A 17733-nucleotide genomic window follows, 5' to 3' on the forward strand; every position below is an offset into this window, starting at 1 on the left:
CAAACTAAGCTTCATAAGTGAAGGAGAAATAAAATCCTTTACAGACAAGCAAATGCTGAGAGATTTTGTCACCAGCAGGCCTGCCCTAAAAGAGCTCCTGAAGGAAGCACTAAACATGGAAAGGAACAACCGGTACCAGCTGCTGCAAAATCATGCCAAAATGTAAAGACCATTGAGACTAGGAAGAAACTGCATCAACTAATGAGCAAAATAACCAGCTAACATCATAATGACAGGATCAAATTCACACATAACAATATTAACTTTAAATGTAAATGGACTAAATGCTCCAATTAAGACACAGACTGGAAAATTGGATAAAGAGTCAAGACCCATCAGTGTGCTGTATTCAGGAAACCCATCTCATGTGCAGAGACACACATAGGCTCAAAATAAAAGGATGGAGGAAGATCTACCAAGCCAATGGAAAACAAAAAAAGACAGGGGTTGCAATCCTAGTCTCTGATAAAACAGACTTTAAACCAACAAAGATCAAAAGAGACAAAGAAGGCCATTACATAATGGTAAAGGGATCAATTCAGCAAGAAGAGCTAACTATCCTAAATATATATGCACCCAATACAGGAGCACCAAGATTCATAAAGCAAGTCCTGAGTGACCTACAGAGACTTAGACTCCCACACATTAATAACGGGAGACTTTAACATCCCACTGTCAACATTAGACAGATCAACGAGACAGAAAGTCAACAAGGATACCCAGGAATTGAACTCAGCTCTGCACCAAGCGGACCTAATAGACATCTACAGAACTCTCCACCCCAAATCAACAGAATATACATTTTTTTCAGCACCACACCACACCTATTCCAAAATTGACCACATAATGGGAAGTAAATTCTCTCCTCAGCAAATGTAAAAGAACAGAAATTATAACAAACTATCTCTCAGACCACAGTGCAATCAAACTAGAACTCAGGATTAAGAATCTCACTCAAAACCACTCAACTACATGGAAACTGAACAACCTGCTCCTGAATGACTACTGGGTACATAACGAAATGAAGGCAGAAATAAAGATGTTCTTTGAAACCAACGAGAACAAAGATACAACATACCAGAATCTCTGGGATGCATTTAAAACAGTATGTAGAGGGAAATTTATAGCACTAAATGCCCACAAGAGAAAGCAGGAAAGATCCAAAATTGACGCCCTAACATCACAATTAAAAGAACTAGAAAAGCAAGAGCAAACACATTCAAAAGCTAGCAGAGGGCAAGAAATAACGAAAATCAGAGCAGAACTGAAGAAAATAGAGACACAAAAAACCCTTCAAAAAATTAGTGAATCCAGGAGCTGGTTTTTTGAAAGGATCAACAAAATTGATAGACCGCTAGCAAGACTAATAAAGAAAAAAAGAGAGAAGAATCAAATAGACGCAATAAAAAATGATAAAGAGGATATCACCACTGATCCCACAGAAATACAAACTACCATCAGAGAATGCTGCAAACACCTCTACGCAAATAAACTAGAAAATCTAGAAGAAATGGATACATTCCTCGACACATACACTCTCCCAAGACTAAACCAGGAAGAAGTTGAATCTCTGAATAGACCAATAACAGGAGCTGAAATTGTGGCAATAATCAATAGCTTACCAACCAAAAAGAGTCCAGGACCAGATGGATTCACAGCTGAATTCTACCAGAGGTACAAGGAGGAACTGGTACCATTCCCTCTGAAACTATTCCAATCAATAGAAAAAGAGGGAATCCTCCCTAACTCATTTTATGAGGCCAGCATCATCCTGATACCAAAGCCTGGCAGAGACACAACAAAAAAAGAGAATTTTAGGCCAATATCCTTGATGAACATTGATGCAAAAATCCTCAATAAAATACTGGCAAAATGAATCCAGCAGCACATCAAAAAGCTTATCCACCATGATCAAGTGGGCTTCATCCCTGGGATGCAAGGCTGGTTCAATATACACAAATCAATAAATGTAATCCAGCATATAAACAGAGCCAAAGACAAAAACCACATGATTATCTCAATAGATGCAGAAAAAGCCTTTGACAAAATTCAACAACCCTTCATGCTAAAAACTCTCAATAAATTAGGTATTGATGGGATGTATTTCAAAAAATAAGAGCTACCTATGACAAACCCACAGCCAATATCATACTGAATGGGCAAAAACTGGAAGCATTCCCTTTGAAAACTGGCACAAGACAGGGATGCCCTCTCTCACCACTCCTATTCAACATAGTGTTGGAAGTTCTGGCCAGGGCCATTAGGCAGGAGAAGGAAATAAAGGGTATTCAATTAGGAAAAGAGGAAGTCAAATTGTCCCTGTTTGCAGACGACATGATTGTATATCTAGAAAACCCCATTGTGTCAGCCCAAAATCTCCTTAAGCTGATAAGCAACTTCAGCAAAGTCTCAGGATACAAAATCAATGTACAAAAATCACAAGCATTCTTATACACCAACAACAGACAAACAGAGAGCCAAATCATGAGTGAACTCCCATTCACAATGGCTTCAAAGAGAATAAAATACCTAGGAATCCAACTTACAAGGGATGTGAAGGACCTCTTCAAGGAGAACTACAAACCGCTGCTCAAGGAAATCAAAGAGGATACAAACAAATGGAAGAACATTCCATGCTCATGGGTAGGAAGAATCAATATCGTGAAAATGGCCATACTGCCCAAGGTAATTTACAGATTCAATGCCATCCCCATCAAGCTACCAATGACTTTCTTCACAGAATTGGAAAAAACTACTTTAAAGTTCATATGGAACCAAAAAAGAGCCCGCATCACCAAGTCAATCCTAAGCCAAAAGAACAAAGCTGGAGGCATCACACTACCTGACTTCAAACTATACTACAAGGCTACAGTAACCAAAACAGCACGGTACTGGCACCAAAACAGAGATATAGATCAATGGAACAGAACAGAGCCCTCAGAAATAACGCCGCATATCTACAACTATCTGATCTTTGACAAACCTGAGAAAAACAAGCAATGGGGAAAGGATTCCCTATTTAATAAGTGGTGCTGGGAAAACTGGCTAGCCATATGTAGAAAGCTGAAACTGGATCCCTTCCTTACACCTTATACAAAAATTAATTCAAGATGGATTAAAGACTTCAACGTTAGACCTAAAACCATAAAAACCCTAGAAGAAAACCTAAGCATTACATTCAGGACATAGGCATGGGCAAGGACTTCATGTCTAAAACACCAAAAGCAATGGCAACAAAAGCCAAAATTGACAAATGGGATCTAATTAACCTAAAGAGCTTCTGCACAGCAGAAGAAACTACCATCAGAGTGAACCGGCAACCTACAAAATGGGAGAAAATTTTTGCAACCTACTCATCTGACAAAGGGCTAATATCCAGAATCTACAATGAACTCAAACAAATTTACAAGAAAAAAACAAACAACCCCATCAAAAATTGGGCGAAGGACATGAACAGACGCTTCTCAAAAGAAGACATTTATGCAGCCAAAAAACACATGAAAAAATGCTCATCATCACTGGCCATCAGAGAAATGCAAATCAAAACCACAATGAGATACCATCTCACACCAGTTAGAATGGCAATCATTAAAAAGTCAGGAAACAACAGGTGCTGGAGAGGATGTGGAGAAATAGGAACACTTTTACACTGTTGGTGGGACTGACTGTCAACTAGTTCAACCATTGTGGAAGTCAGTGTGGCGATTCCTCAGGGATCTAGAACTGGAAATACCATTTGACCCAGCCATCCCATTACTGGGTATATACCCAAAGGACTATAAATCATGCTGCTATAAAGACACATGCACACGTGTGTTTATTGCGGCATTATTCACAATAGCAAAGACTTGGAACCAACCCAAATGTCCAACAATGATAGACTGGATTAAGAAAATGTGGCACATATACACCATGGAATACTATGCAGCCATAAAAAATGATGAGTTCATGTCCTTTGTAGGGACATGGATGAAATTGGAAATCATCATTCTCAGTAAACTATCGCAAGAACAAAAAACCAAACACCGCATATTCTCACTCATAGGTGGGAATTGAACAATGAGATCACATGGACACAGGAAGGGGAATATCACACTCTGGGGACTGTGGTGGGGTGGGGGGAGGGGGGAGGGATAGCATCGGGAGATATACCTAATGCTAGATGATGAGTTAGTGGGTGCAGCGCACCAGCATGGCACATGTCTACATATGTAACTAACCTGCACAATGTGCACATGTACCCTAAAACTTAAAGTATAATAATAAAAAAAAAGAAGTTGTGAAAATTAATATTAATTTATTTCTGGACTTAGGGGAAAGTATAGTCTTTAACCATTAGGTATAACTGTAGGTTTTTCATAGATTTGCTGTGATTTACAGAAAACAATGTAAGATTCAAATATACACATGCTTATTTATTTATCCCAATTATTCATCTGAGTTTGAGGGAAATAATCAAAGTGAAGGTCCTCATTTTGGTTGCACTAGCTTTGCACCTCCCAAGTAAACCATCAACACCTAGACCCTTCCTCAGACTCTCTTTCTAGAAAACTCCGATTAAGACAGGTACCTACATCAAGAATGAATTAGTGAAATAATATTCAAAAGAAGATCATGTTTAAACTGAGCCTGATGAGAAATAAAAGTGAATCATGTGAGTTAGACAGAGACAGGGAAATTCCAGAAAGATGAAAAAATAGTTACATGAAATCCTAGAATTGTAGATACACATGCAGTGTTTATAGCATTGCCAGTAGTTCTAGTTGACAGGTATATTAGAGAAAGAGGTGAGGGATTAGCTGAGGGAGGAGAAAAGGAAGGAAATTGAGTTGCTATGAAATTCTATTTTTGTTCGGAAATAAACAGACAGTTTCAAATTAAGATTTAAAAATATTTTAAAGAGGAAAATAAGGTGATTATACTTATAATTTAGAACAATCACTAGTAGTTATCTGAAAGAGAGTAAATTAATAGGAGTGGAAATGGAGACACAATATGAGAAAAGACCATGGCAGACACCAAAGTAACAACTGGTAGGGGCCTGAAGTGAGACAGTGGTATGGTGGCATACAGATGAAGAGGAAGGATAGATATATTTAGGAAGAAGGGACAATAGGACTGGGTTGTTGGGTTGAACAAGAGGGATCACAGGCAGGGAAACAGGTTTGTCACGAAAAAAATGACTTGATATCTGTCAAATATTTGTATCCAGAATCCGTAAAGTATACTTACAACTCAATAATAAGAAAACAAACGACCAGTAAAAAAGTGGGCAAAATATTTTGATGTACTCCAAATGCACAAAGTCAGTATTTGTAGGAAAAGAAGCTAAATATTATTAGTGATCACAGAAGTTCAATTTAAAATAACAATGAGATACTACTGCACTTCACCAGAAAAGCTACAGTGAAAAACTCTGGAGCAACTATTACTCTCATATACTGATAGCGAGTATAAAATGGTACATACACTTTACACCCCTAAGTATTTACCTAATTCTACTTGAAAGTATTTACACTCCAGCAATTATAGTGTTAGGTATTTACTCAAGAGAATTGAAAACACATATCCACAAAAACACTTAAACATCAATGTTCACAGCAGATTTATTCATAATAGCCCCAAACCGGAAACAACCCAAATGTTCAACAGGTGAATGCATAAACAAATTGTGGTATGTTAATAGAATACAACTGTACCCAGCAATGTAAAAGAACAAGCTGCTGATACATCTAACAACATGACTGAATGTCAAAAACAGTATGCTAAGCAAAAGAAGTGAGACACAAAAAATTACATTTTGACATTGGAATCAGAAGTGACTATGTTATAACCAGGTGGATACATAAAGAAGAGGCTGGACATTAGGGCCTGGATCTTAGAAGATAAGTCTGGGACAAATATGCAGATTTGAACATCACCAGCCTTATTAAAGACAAAAGAGTAGATGAGATCACCAAGGAGGAGTGTTTAGGACAGCCAAAGCTAGATACAGGTAAATATTAGCATTGTAGGGACACAAAGAAAGGAAAATACTGTCCAGGCACAGTGGCTCACACCTGTGATCCCAGCACTTTGGGAGGCCAAGGCGGGCGGGCGGATCGTTTGAGCCCAGGAGTTTGAGACCAGCATGGGCAACATGGTGAAACCTTGTCTCTGCAAGTAATAGAAAAATTAGCCAGGTTTACTGGCACAGGCCTGGTCCCAGCTACTGGGAAGGCTGAGGTAGGAGGATCACTTGAGCCTGGAAAGGTCGATGCTGCAATGGGCTGTGATCATGCCACTGCACGCCAGTTTGGGTAACAGAGTGAGACTCTGTCTCAAAAGAACAGAAAAAAAAAAAAAAAAGAAGAAGAAGAAGAAGATGAAGTGCAGAATGCAGAGAAAAAGAAGAGGTAGGGGGAGGACAATCAAGCAAAGGAAAATAATTATGGGAGAGGACAGTCTGTTGCAAAGGCCAGAGAGGGACAAAGGAAGAAAAGGGTAAATATCTTTGCACTAGACTACTACAAAATACTTAGCACAGAGGAGGCCATTTTACAGGAAGACTCAAAAGTTCCATTGTAGTGGGTCGAGGAGTGAATGGGCAGAGAGAAAATGGGGACAGAGAATGTACCCTACACTTAACAAAAGTTTGCTTTGGAAAGGAAAGAACTACAAAGTCTATGTCTTTGCGAATGTCATATTTCCACCCAAATGTAAATTTTTGGTTATTTCACAAATACCTCACAGTGACTAAATTCTCAGTAAGATGTTTATGGTATCACCCATGTATTTCTGATAAAGGAAAAGCTGACATAGAGAAAAGTGCATTTTATGAACTAGTTCACGTATTATATAAAAGTAAAGATCCAGATTGCAGTATAGAATTGAAATGTGGTTTGCAAATTCTTGCTTTTGCTCTATACAGAAATCCTAGGCTGTATTTCCCCTGTTCCGCTTCACTTATATCTTATATGATTGTCACCTTGTGTTTCTCCATTTAAAAATAAAAGGCAAACTCAGCAGTTCCTTTTTCTTAAACTGCTTCAGTAACCAGCAGTTGCCACATTAAAAGCTTTAGCTGCAGGACTATAAAAATAGTCTAATGCTCCCTAGCAAGTAGCTACATTTCAGCCAGTTCTCTTTTCAGGGATGTAGCAAGGTCAAATCTAATGGCCAGGGAAGGACAGGCTATGAGAGAGAAGGGAAAGCCAGTTGACATTCACAGAGCAAAAGTGCATTGTGCTTGGAATTTTTTGTGTAAATGTTAAACAGTGCCCACATTTAACCACCTGCTTGTTGTTTAGAAGGGTTCAAATGAACAATTTCAAGCACAATTGAATAACACTCAAAAGAAAATCAAGTGTAATTTCCTAAGTTGCTGAAGCAAGGATTCTTCTATGAAACACCATTAGTATTTCTAAACCTGATTTGATTATATTTGAAATTTAATGCATACAGTTCAGTGGCACCTCGAGATTTATTTGTGCAAAGATGGAATTACAAGGTAGACCTTTATAAATGATTGTTTCTTTCTGTGTATGTATTTTTAAAATTCTTCATGTCATAATTGTAATAAAACTAAATGATTAAAGATTAAATGTCATTTATTTTTTGGCTTCCTTATGACAATATTTTGCTTTGCATTTAAGATATATTAAAAAGTAGGGAAAATACACCACATAAAATCACTCACATCACACTGCTTGTATAGCTCATCTTGAAATTCTTCACCTGTGTACTATCTCTAAATATTTATCAGTTAGGAAAGAAAGGGTATGTTGTAATCTTCAGGTTACTTTGATAAATCTCTTAAGAGGGTAATTCTTTTACTGCCTTTATTAAATGCCAACTTCACATGATCGCTGATGCTTTAAAACCTTCAGCGTTTCCCTCAATGACAGGATCAAGTTTAAATGCTGTAATCTAATCCTTACAGAATCCCTCAATCCCAGTTCTGTAGGTTACTCACTGCCATGAGCATCAGCCCCTGTTTTAGACACGATTCCAACCAGGGACAACCTCTTCCTTGTATTCTACTTAAACAAATCTCTCCCATCCCACAAGCTTCAACACGTCAATTTTCTTGCAGCAATGTTTGATAAAGATTTCTTAACTAATATTTGAAGGAAAAAGAATATTAACCTCTTTTAAATATAAAAGTGATTGTAATTACAAGTTTGTTACATACATCATTAACAAGACACAAACAAAAAAAAACTTAAAGCACTCTGTGGGAAAATGTTTCTAATAAATAGATTTTAAAGAAACTATTCAAATCAATGTTTTAATAACTCTCTGCCAAAATATGTATATTTCTTCTAAAAGTCACAGAGCATTTCTTGAAAATCACTTCCAGAACACTCCATAAAACAGCCTGGATTCAGTAATCCCCTAATCTCCAGGAATTTATCCTGATGCAAAAAAGTACCTATCCAATTTTATGTTCACACTGTAGGTAAACTATTGCATCAATGTGAACATTTGCCAAAGTTTGCACATATTAGTGTTTTAAAATTAAGATGCTGAAATTGCAGAATTACAACTGAAGGAAGAAAACACTATTGCTCATGCCACTGAAACTAAAGCATTCATTTTATTTCATGCATAGGTTTCACAATCTACACTGATATTTAATAAATATTTTGCCTTTATCCGCAACTCCAAGCAGCCACTAATAATGAAGCAGTTGAGAACCTGACTTAATGATTGTTAACCAAGAATATTTGGCTAGTGAAGCTGGTTAATACTGACTTAATGCAAAATATTCAGGACACTTATTAATAAACAAACAAAACTGCCCCCAAAATGGAAAAAAAAAAACATAAGCAAAAGAAGTTAAGAATCTATACCAAAAGTAAAACCAATTCAGTGTTCTGCCTCTCTTATGCTAAGTCTCAGAAAACACCAACTTTGTAGGGTTCAGAATGTAAACCAAACACCTAATCTTCTCATAATGTCATTCTGAAACAGCCATCATGAATTAGAAATTAACCTGAACTATTCTTGACTGGGTAAGAAACACAATCCTAACGTTTATTGCAGATATTGGGGTGTGAATAATGAGTTTCAAAGAGTATTTTTTTACTGTCCCAAACAATACATTACTATTAATATTTTAAAACTATATCTTCAAACATAAGTGAAATGATCCCTAATTCTCAACTCCAGTGCTCAAGGATTTAGTCACTATGATACTACATACAAGCAGATATATAATTGAATGCCGATTAATACTAAATGCTGTAAAGAAAAAATTACACAGGGGAAATGGGTAGTGAATGTCAAAATGTGCTACTTTTGAAAGGGTAGCAAGAAAGGTTAATTTGGTGTGATGGCATTCTTACAGAGACCTTTAACATTCCAGGAAGAACAAACAGTGGGAGCAAAGCCCTGGGACAGGCATGTGTTTGGCAAGTTCAGGGAAGAGCATGAAGCCAGGGTCTGGAGAACAGGTGGGGATGAATGTGGGGACACTGGAAATGAAGGTAGAGCAGTTGTCTGGTTCCGTGTCTGAAAAGGCTTGTAGACCATGTGCTTGTGATTTTAAGTGTAATGGGAGCTATTTTAGGTTTGAGAGCAGGTCAACCCAGTAGTCATTTAGCAATTGTCTAAAAAGTGCAAAAAAAACCAGTTGCTTGGTAGAAAAAAAGAAACAAAATCTATTGTCCTAAATGCCAGGTAGAGAAATGGCTACTGAAGAAGTATCCCTTCCAGCTCTGAAATTCTAGAATTCTATAACTCCTTGGTCGAAAGGAACGAAGGAAGTAAAATTCCAGTGCCCACTGGAGCCAGCATTTAAGTCTCCAACACCCTCCGCATACACTGCATACACATAAAACACAATGTAAAAATAATAGAACATAATTATATAAAAACCAAAATACGACACATCTTCCTTTATTTAAAATAGAGTTCTATATGCTTCACAGAAACAAGTGCAAGAAGTGCTTGATTTATTATCTTTCCCACTTTACAAAACAATACATTTTCAGAAAATGCATACATAAAAATATAACATTTAGGCAGATAATTATTTACATCTGAAGACAGATGAAAGTTACACGATAATATTAAAAAGCTTTAAAATAAATACTTTTATGACTTGCTGTTGGTAAAGTTAAACATTTTGGTATAAAGGCTATCACTGAGTTTTTAATAAATTCTAAAACACTATTATTTCTAAATAAAATAAGTCTATACATATTACTATAAAATGCATATTTTCACAGACTAGAAATTAATGAAACATCTGAATATCATTCATTTCTCTTTGGAGTTTGAAATTCTCTTCACCTTCCACATTTAAATTACAACTACTAAAATCCATCTACATATTTTTGATACAGTTTATTGCCCAATTCCTATTTTAAAACCTAATTTATTTTTTCATATTCCTTCCTTATATACATTCCTTTGGGCCTGTCGGCTGAAAGACAATCTTTTTACATACTTAAGAGTATCAGCTAGCTTACAAAAAGTCTTTACAACGGTGATTCTTTTCACAGTAGTTCAAGAGTTCAAGGCATGTTTTGCAATGTCAAAATGCAATGGTTTTGACATTTGTAATATGTTCTTAGGTATAAGAAGAGTCACGCTACCAAAAGAAAAGTATAATTAGTATTAGTACTTTGAAAGTCAATCCAAAATTCCTTTTTTGAGATCTGAATCTAATTTTCTGTTTTTAGGACATTTAAAAACCTGAAACACAGATCAAGTTTGAATAATCTTCTCCAGTCTAGAATCAGAAGAGTACATGAGCTTGACACTAGTCATTGCGGAAAAGAACTAGAATTTAATATTTTGGCTCAGATACTCTCATTTTGTATAAAGAGAAAAAAAGGGCTGTGTCCTTAAAAATACTTAGTTACTATTATTTAGCCTATGGAAGAAATAGAAATATTAGTAAATGTCATTCTACGCTTGCATTTGTTAGACAAAATTTAGGCACACAATCCTCTCTTTACAGGCAAAGTCAGTAATTAGCTCCATGCATAGAATGAAAACTGTATGGACGATATCAAAATTGGGGTCCATGTGCCTTGCTGCAGATTGTCTGGGTTGAAAAATTAAACCAACATGATAAACAATCAATTTCTCTTCTCTCAGGAATGCCAGGATGAAAAGATAAAGTATTATTTCTTCTAAGTTCTTTGTTCAATCTGTAGATGTCAAGAATTATTTTGACTTTTTAATTCTCATTTTCTGAAGATGTATAAGCCAGACCATTCTTTAAACACATATAAGCCAATAAGATGCTTCTCTGTAAAATATAAAATTATGTCTGGGAGCCAATTGCAGTTGGATTTTAGCCCGCACCTGCCCCTCAGCTGGGAAGATTTATATAGAGCACAACAGGCCTGACTGGATGTGATGGCAGTGGGTATAAGGGTAATCTCCTAAGGCACTCAGATTCTTAGTGGCCCTATTAAAATTCAGATTAACATAACCCACAGTAAACTCTTGCAGTTAAAACTGTTAGGTCTGGAGAGAAAAATTTCTTTTAGGACAACTTGGACCAATGATCAGGAAATACAGTCACATCTGAAAATATTAAAATCTAGGATGAAATACAGCTCATATTCTCTCGAATGTATTCATCTACAACTGAAAGAGAAAAGTATGCTGGCAGTTCTATTATTGTTAGGGGAATTTTAAAATAGGGATTGTTACCTAATTTTGCTGTAGTATTATATTCCAAACTAATAGCATAATGGCTTAGTTTGTCAAAAGCAAAACAAAGCAATGGTATGGAACAGCAGAAATAAATTTAACAATCACATTATGGGGCATATATTTCAAATTGTCTTTCCCAGTTACTATTTCTCAAGCGGAATTTAGCATTAAAGCAAAAGTAGACATTCTTTATATGTTAGCTAAAAGCTAGAATACAAATAACAGCTAGTCTTTTTAGGTTTTAAAAGAAAAATCATCTCTGCCATTAACAAATACTCTATAGTGCCAAATGAAGGATTACTGGAGAAGTTATGAGGTGAAACCTCTTATACAGAGAACTTAAAATCTTGTTAAGAAGTTCATTGTGTAGAAGTTTGGACAGGTTAAACGACAACTAAAGAAATACAGGAATTATAGAGTGACTTGGGATTGATGAGATCTGCCAAACATTTTTTAATGCACTAAAAGAAGATGAATGCCAAAGACAAACTAATGAGAAACTGAGGGGAAAAAAAAGAGAAAGAGAGAAAAGTTAGATAATATCCCACTGGACATAGTCCCAAATTCAGCTATCAAATCACCTTTCACCCCCATTCCAAGGTACAAAGAGAAAGAACAGTCCTTACAGAAAGGGTGGGGGATGTCAGGAAGCTTCTCTAATCATTACTTGCACTAAGAAATTCTATACTCTCACAGTTCCTAAATTTTATCCATTAATTTTATCAGCACCCCAGTGGTTGCCTACTTAGCTCAACAACCATTCTACAACTCTTTCTTAGCCTAGTTTAGTTTTTCTCATTGACCTCACTCTGAGTGAGTAAATTATTTTAGTAGAAACCCAAAGAAAAGTGGGATTTTATCATCATCATTGAATGGCACATTACGTTAGTGTGCATTCAAGGTAGGTTTAGATGCATGCGAATTAATTTTTAATCAGTAAAAGTTGGGGATATGGCAGGGAACAGTGCTGGGTGTCACCACCAGGCTTTCATAAGAGTTCTGCTAGTAACTAGTAGTCATTTAATCTCTGATCCTTGGTTTCGTCATCTACACAAAATTGGAATAACTTTATATAATCTCTGAGAGTACTAAGGGATTCTCTTTCATTAGAAGGCTAAATTCCAGACGGTTAAGTTAAATAAGAGTTATTTTTAAAATTAGGAACTAATGATAATGTTGAAAGATAGTGAGGGAATATTAAGAAAAAAAGTGAGAAAAATAATGAAATATAAAGCAAGGCTAGATGAAAAAAAGAAAGTCAAATATCTATATATTTTCATTAAAATGTTTTGAAAAATGCCCATATTATAAAAATTCTATTTAATATTAACATTTTTTAAAAACTTACATTCCAATTAACTTTTTTGTTATTTAGAAGCAGCTCTCAAGATAAAAGAATTACTGTTTTCACTAAAATAGCAGAAAAACTCCATGTAGGTATCAGCACACAGAGCTAGAACAAAGCATTGTCAAACAGAAATAGTATGTTTCACAAAAGATGTTTAAAATATCTTTGAAAACCACAATGGTGCCATTTTAAGATACGAATACTAAACATTTCTAAGTAGCTTGTAATGATGTGTTTGTGAATTTATTTTAAAGGAATGATTATTGAAGACATCAACTGCCAGCTTTTATTCATTTGGTACTGCTACTTTCTTAATTTTCCAGTGGGAAATAAAATTTGTATATTTTAAATACATTTATTTAGCCAAATACATTCTCATACTTATTTCAATCAAAGACTATGCCCTAACAAGCAATTTTAAGTTGTTTACTCAAACTTTGTATAATGGCAAACATCAGCTCCCTGTTTTCAGACGATTTGCTAAGCAGGTTCCCTGGTGCTTTTGTGCAGACTCAAAGACAACCCTGAGTTTTCTCTGCCCCAATAAGTCACATGGTGGCAAAATTCCAGGAAAATAGGAGTAGTTTTGTTTTGTTTTATTAGTAATTCTACAATAGTAGGTGTAATAAAATAATAAATTATTCTGGAACTTCTAACCTAATGAATCTATTGTAGATTTTCATTTTTAAATAAAAGCTAATTTTAATTTTTTCAGATACTGCAACCAGGTTACTATTTTCATACAATCATGGAAATTTAAAATGCAAAGTTAATTGAAAGTATAAAGATGAAAAGCAAGTGCTATGCCTAAAATAGTGCACGACAGTCATGTTTCACTTAACTCTCAAGTCAGAACATAAATTAAGAATTCTAGATGTGACATGCCAAATATTTTAGACATAGAAGAAAGCATACAACAGAATCTGTACCAATTACAAACTTAAAGGCAAAATTTACAAGGCAACAAGTTCATGCTGAAATACTGACAACAAATAATGTTTCTCTTATTTTCAGAAAGTGATGCTGCATTTAAATCCCATCACCACTTTATACAGTACTGAAAATTCATAATAGTGTTTTCCCAAGTCTTGTATTATACCCCAAAGCCAAAATATCTGTAAGGAGTAAAGAACACTGATACTCTGAACATAACCTAAGGAGAATTTTTTTTTTTTTTGCTTATAACAAAATGTAAAAGAAATAAATATTACACAATGGGACTCCATTAAAAACAATATAACATTTGACAGCATAAGTATATACAAGAAGCCTGCCTTATGCTCTAAACTTCATCATCCTATTTTTGTAAGTGAGCATGTTCTATATATAATCCTGTTAAGAGTAAAGGAAATATTACAACTTTTAACATTTTCCTTATCATTTTTGCTGCTCTATTCCCTTTCTTAAAAAATGTATTTTGTAATTGAAATATAAGACTACTCAGTTAGGAGTCATAGTTAAACAACACAAGAACAAGAAAAATACCTCAAAATGTACTAACATACGGATTTCTTCAGAGTGAAAGTTGAACCAATAAAATATGAAATTATATTTAGACACCCTCAAATAAGCTACAAAACATAATGACAAGAAAAATGGAGATGGTAAAAAATCCTCTCTTAAAAATTCAATAAGCATATTTACCCAACATAAGTAAATAAAACAGGAAATATCATTCTTGTTTATTTGAGGCACGTACAACCATAGTAAATAAATAATTTCGTTCTTATATATGCAGAAAAACAATCTATGAGAAATTAGTAACAAGAACAAGCAAGATTACCCCTTCACATAGGCTCTTTTTAAAAATCACTTCACATAGGCACTTTTAAAAACTGATGATATATTTAGATTGTCTGTAATATCCAAATAAAGCTACTTTCTAAATGTGTTGCAAATGAAAGCAATTTTCAGACCTATCCTAGAAACCCACTGTCATGCAGAACTCAAGACATCCCACTTCGTATTTTATCTGTCAATTTAATCTCTTCCCCCACACACTCACATCCCTATTCCCATTCCCAAATTAGACTTTAAAATCCCTGAGGGCAGGACCTATCTATCTTTGTATTCCCTCTTGTACCCGATATTGTGGCAAGCAAGATATGGGTGCTCTATGATTATTTAATAAGTGGATGAGAGCATTAACGAGTATGGAAGTACACGCAAACTCCATAGCTGTCAGTTTTTTGCCTTCCTTATTTCAACTCAGTAAAATGAAGATAGATTCAGTAACATATTTCCATAGTGAAATGAAGCATAATCACTAAATTGTACTCTATGAGAAAATACAGAAGTATATCCTTCAGAACGCTATTACCCAAGCTGTGCTTTGCTTTATAGAACAGTTAAATATGGGATAGTAAAAAGTTTCCCCTCCTCTTAATAAAAGGGTTCCACCACGATCAGGTAATCTGAGCAATCCAGTTTAAAAAAAAATCAAGTAGCATTTCTTTACTGTTATTAGTTTTTTTTTTTTTTTTTACTGTTATCAATAGCATTTACTTCACTCTTCAAAATACATTATATGCTAACATGTACTATCACTTTATAAGCAAGTACCAAAGAACACTTTTGGTCTTGGATCATCTCAGTAGAAGAATGTTCTAAGGAATGGAGTTTGAAAAAAGATGTTTTAGGAGCATAAAAGACATCATGTTAAATCTCGTTTACCAAAGTAAAATTATAGATTTGAAGGGCATATTTAATGTCCCATTAAATATTCATTACTCTGTGTCCACAGAAAGTAGAATGAAGGCAAAACTATCATGAGCATTCTTCTGTACTCACTCACTCACTGTGAAAGGGTAGAGGAATATCTATTTGCTGTTTCTGATACCGTCTGTAGGGTTTGGTTGTTAACACTTCATTGAAGAGTTTTCTTAATTCTTCTCAATATATTCTCAAAATATTTCCTTCCTTCCTCTTCCTTTTCTGTCTTTTCTTTCTAAGTGTGTATGTACAAAGGAAATAGGGACCTCTGAATTGTATCTTAAAGACATTTTCAGACAATGAATATTTATGTTTGATTAATCTTTGGAAGTGTTCAGAAAACATTAATGCTCATTAACAAATGGGGTAACCATGATATTTCTATGAGAAAAAATGTCAACAGATATGGTTCTGAGATTTTGTGCGGGTCCATTATGATTCTGCAAAATAACTCAATATGCCTTCTAAACCACAAATATCATAATAAAAGATATTACATAGGGAGAAAAGCACTATTCAAGGGAAAGTAGGAAGCTAGCTAACCTTACGGTGTTCATTATCACAAGATTTGGACCTAGTGCCAGTTCTGCCATTAGCTGTGTGACTTCAGGACATTTCTCAGTGTCTCAGGATGTCAGGTATCTCTTTTGTAAATGAAAGGAACAAGTTTAGTGGTTCAGGGACTGCTGCAGTAGTGGATTATGAAGAACAGGAGAACAGCAGAAGGGGAGACCAAGCACATGGGACACCCACCTCACTTACATCTTCCACTAAGCAGCTCCACTCTCACGTTCGATATATTAAAGTTTAGAGCAATATTTATTTTTAAAAAGTCCTGCTAACTTAAAAAGGGGGAAACATAGATTGCATCACCTAAAGATAGCATGCTCTAATTTGCATGTTTAATTAATATGTTTTCATCTCAGAAAAAAATGTTTTTACATCTTTTCCTGTTCATTCATGTGCTCTTGGTTCAAGTAAAATAAAAACTTAATGACTATAACATTTTTATAGAGCTTATTTTATACTTTTGTAATATATTTCTTCCTTATTAAATAAAAAGATGAGTTGAGGTGTTGCTTTCAAAATAAAATTAAACATAACATAGAGATTGGATGAAGTCAACTCCTGCCCATGCTTAACTTTAGAGTTATCTTTTCATGCTGCCTTATGGGCACTTAAATACTGTACTGTCTTATCTTTGAGGTAGAACAAAAAAAAAATGGCAAAAACATTCACATAAAGGGGAAAATGGAAAAGAAAGCTATGAGAGATTTCTTTTTAACATAATTATCATCATTAGGCTTTGCAGTCTTCTTTGACACAAAGTTGAGATATAGTCTTCTTAATACGAAGAGCAGTTAGGCGGGCCGCTCCGTTGGCATACCAACACTCACGCATTATTCTCCCCATGACTCGGAGTGCCTTTAAGAGAGAAAAAAAAAATCAAAGACTTTAGCTACTCTACATAAAACAGAGCACAAAAGAAGTAAAGCCATAAATCCAGGAATTGATGCTAAGCTTTTTTTTTTTTTTTAAGAGATGGGGTCTTGCTATGTTCCCCAGGCTGGAGTACAATGGCTATTCACAGGTGCAAGCATAACACACTACAGCCTCAAACTCTTGTGCTCAACCGATATTCCTGCTTAATCTTCCAAGTAGCTGGGACACAGGCATGCACCGCTGTACCTGCCATTGATGCTAACTAAGTTTTGATGAAGAAACAGTAAATTTAAAACAATATAAGAAGATTAGGGTCAAACCCCTTCAAAAATTCTACCAAAACTCAAATACTAACCTTGTAGAGACTAACTAAAAAATGTTTCAATCCACTGATTTCTGGGAATATGGGACATGAAAAACATCAAGGGATATGGGAAGGCTTGGAAATTCCCTGTATCTTGATGTTGGTGATGAGTACACAAGTGTAAACGTACGAAAAAAAATTCATCAATCTGTATACTAAGATTTGTGAGTTTTACCAAATGTAAATTATACTACAATAAAAATTATGA

General features: G+C 35.1%; 1 protein-coding gene across 4 annotated transcripts in view; it reads right to left on the reverse strand.

Moving 5' to 3' along the window:
• Positions 1-9866: 9866 nt before the first annotated feature.
• The window catches only part of ACVR1C (activin A receptor type 1C), a 102098-nt gene continuing 94231 nt past the window's right edge, over positions 9867-17733 (reverse strand). For all 4 annotated transcript variants that reach the window (NM_001111033.2, NM_001111032.2, NM_145259.3 and 1 more), the window contains one exon: positions 9867-17143. In NM_001111033.2, the coding sequence (NP_001104503.1) occupies positions 17018-17143 (126 nt within the window). In that variant the 3' untranslated portion in view covers positions 9867-17017. The remainder of the gene's footprint in view (positions 17144-17733) is intronic.

Source organism: Homo sapiens, chromosome 2 (genome assembly GCF_000001405.40).
Source record: "Homo sapiens chromosome 2, GRCh38.p14 Primary Assembly".
NCBI classification, from domain to species: domain Eukaryota; kingdom Metazoa; phylum Chordata; class Mammalia; order Primates; family Hominidae; genus Homo; species Homo sapiens.